At 42.7% G+C, this 2,836-nt stretch overlaps 2 annotated features.

The window, feature by feature from the left end:
* Window positions 1,960-2,309: an enhancer, noted in NCBI's record as "active region_10788". NCBI's record gives its function as "activates an Ori minimal core promoter by ATAC-STARR-seq in GM12878 lymphoblastoid cells {active_cell/tissue: GM12878}" and the evidence as "EXISTENCE:reporter gene assay evidence [ECO:0000049][PMID:35858748]".
* Window positions 2,370-2,459: an enhancer, noted in NCBI's record as "active region_10787". NCBI's record gives its function as "activates an Ori minimal core promoter by ATAC-STARR-seq in GM12878 lymphoblastoid cells {active_cell/tissue: GM12878}" and the evidence as "EXISTENCE:reporter gene assay evidence [ECO:0000049][PMID:35858748]".

The following is a 2,836-nucleotide window of genomic DNA, read 5'->3' as shown; positions in this document are numbered from 1 at the left end:
TTTGAACATACCAAGGATGCGCGGGAATTCCTCTCTTATAGCTCCCTCTTGCCAGAATCGACTATTATCATTTTGACAAACATTTGCTAATCTGATAGGCAAAGAATTGCTTCCCTTACTGTTGTTTAAATTTGCATGTCTTTGATTATACTAGAAGTTGAACATGTTTCCATATGTTTGTTTACTGCTTTGCATTTCTTATTTTGTGAATCATCTGTTCATGTCCTTTGCCCATTTATCTAGTTAGGTTTAAATGTTTTCATCATCAGTTTTAAGAGTCCTTTATATAACAAAGCTATTAACCCAATGTCATGTGGCTGCAAATATTTTTTCCTCTGTGTTTGCCTTTTCATATGAGGTTGGGTTTCATTTTTCTTTTACATGCATATATTTTTCATACTTACGCTTCTGCTTAAAATCTTTCTGCATTCAATTCCTGAGCATGGTATGCAAGGCCCTTCAAGGAACAGCTCCTTCAACCTCTGTTCTGTCAGTTCATCCCACAAAATGCATGGTCTAGTTGTTCTCCTCCCACATAAATGCAAAAAGTCCTCCCATACTTCTAGGATGTAACACATCTTCCCAGGAGTCCTTCCTGCCCCCATTCACCAAAATAACTTCCAGTCCTTCCGGATGCACGGCAAGTCAGTGTGATGGAGGAGTTCCGTGCACGGGGTCCGGGTGAAAACTGCTGGCCTGGACTCCCAGCAGTTTGGCTTACTAGCTGCATTTGCCAGTTGACCTAAACTATCCAAGCCTCCATTTCCTTACATGTTAAATGAGAAAAAAAAAAAGGAGTGGTTCCTCAAAACATGAACCACAGAGTTACCATACAACCCAGAAATTCCACTCTTCAGCACAGTCTCAGGAGAACTGAAAACCTACTGCCATGGTCTGAACGTCTGTGCCCCCAACTCAAAATTCATATGTTGAAAGTTAACCCCCAAAGTGATTGTATTAGCGGCCTTTGGGAAGTGATCAGGTCATGACTGGGATTAGTGCTCTTTAAAAAGAGACCCTAGAGAGCCTACCTAGCCCCTTCTGTCATGGGAAGACACAGTAAGAAGGGGCCATCTATGAACCAGGAAACAGACCCTCACCAGGCACTGAATCAGCTTGCACCTTGCTCTTGGAATTCGGCCTCCAGAACTGTAACAAATAAATTTTCCTTCGTTGAAGCCCCCAGTTTGTCATGCTTTGTTATAGCCTCTCAGGAGACTCATATAATCACCAAAAGGCTGTTGAATGCCTGCTCGGAATTGAACACTCAGGAGAAAAGCAGCCCTAAGCGATGGATCAAGGAAAAGATGAATGTGGAGAGAGCCCAGCCTATGGGTCTCCCCATCTATTCCTCTCCTCTCACCTCCTGTCCTTCTTTGCCACACCTGCGACCTCTCCAGCTGCAGAAATATTTACCAGGCATTGTTTAAACAAAAAGGAGAGCTAGTTCTAAGAAGAGCAGGGAAGAATAAGATGGAACCAATCCGGAGGCCAGAACCAATGTCCTGGCTTATAATTCAGAGCAGCCTCCTCCCTCTCCCACCCCCAGGGTGACTTTATCCTGTAAATTAATCCCATGAATGGTTTAAGACACAGGCACTGAATTAAATGTGACTCATTTTCTATTGCAAATTCTCCTTACTGACTTAGTTACTTTATATGCCTGAAATTATTTTATTTTTAGTTAACACATTTTTTAAAAAACGGAATGAAATGCAAATCCTTTCAGAGCTTGTCCGACTCCTGTAAAGCTTAACTACATAAATTTCAATGTATTATTTATATCCAGATATGCTGCAGCTGAATTTCACATGTAAATGTTCAGAATTTCAAGTTCCTTAATTGAAAACTTAAAAAAAAAATCTCTCTTCATCACCACTGGCTGTCTCCCCTCTTTTATGAAAGATACTGTTAATATGTTACAACATGGCCCTCTTGCACACCTTGGAAGGAGATCCAAGTCTTGTTCCCTTCTTGGTCCAGCCCTGTGACCTTGTGATGTCACATGATTTCAATAACATGAAAGTGAAAGCAGATGACTGTTTCATGCTCCGTGGAACTCTGGGTTCTAAGAATTTATATGGGGGTTGTAGAACGTTCTGGTAGGAAGGGGCCTGGGAGCTCCGTCCCTCCCCCTGCAGCATCGGGGGTATCCCTGCAGGCCCCAGGAATTCCGGTCTCTGGAGGCAGTTTCCTCCCCAACGCAGGAAGATGAGATAAGTGAGCTGGGCTCACGAGTGGGCTGCCTCTCTGGGGAGCTTGTCACTGTGCTGGCAATGACTCAGGGAACATTTCCTGGAGGAGGTGGGTTGCAGGAGCAAGAAGCCACCAGATAACTTGCCAGAAGAATGTGCACAGGAGGCAGAAGCAGTTGTAGTTCCATCTGCATCCATCAATGTGAATGCACTTACTAGACTCTCTGGATTCAGTGTGCTGGAGACAGCTATGGTTCTAACTGTGGCTTATTTGGTTGAGTGAGAGTGGACTAAATGGTGACTTACACTGAATGTAGTGTAAATGCCAGAAATTCCTTGGTACAATATAGGAGAAGAAATTCACAGGCATAGGAGGATGGGAGTGTTGGAAGGGATTTATTATGCTAAATAAGATTTAGAGGAGGCTATTTATTTGTTTGAACTGAACTTTTGCACCAGGCCCAACAAACCAAATCAAACTGAAGTCACTCTTGCTGAAGTTCCATACCACCAAGCTGAAATTAAGCTGTTAATCTAACTTTCCAAGAAATCAGGAGAGAGAGAGAATAACCAAATCTCCAAACAGGCCAGTTTAAGCCAGCATAATTTTAAAAAGTTCTTTCTGCTTTAGAAGAAAAGTA

Source organism: Homo sapiens, chromosome 16, assembly GCF_000001405.40.
Source record: "Homo sapiens chromosome 16, GRCh38.p14 Primary Assembly".
Classification (NCBI taxonomy): Eukaryota; Metazoa; Chordata; class Mammalia; order Primates; family Hominidae; genus Homo; species Homo sapiens.
Note: the sequence above shows the minus strand (reverse complement) of the source record. Positions and strands in the feature narration are given on the sequence as shown.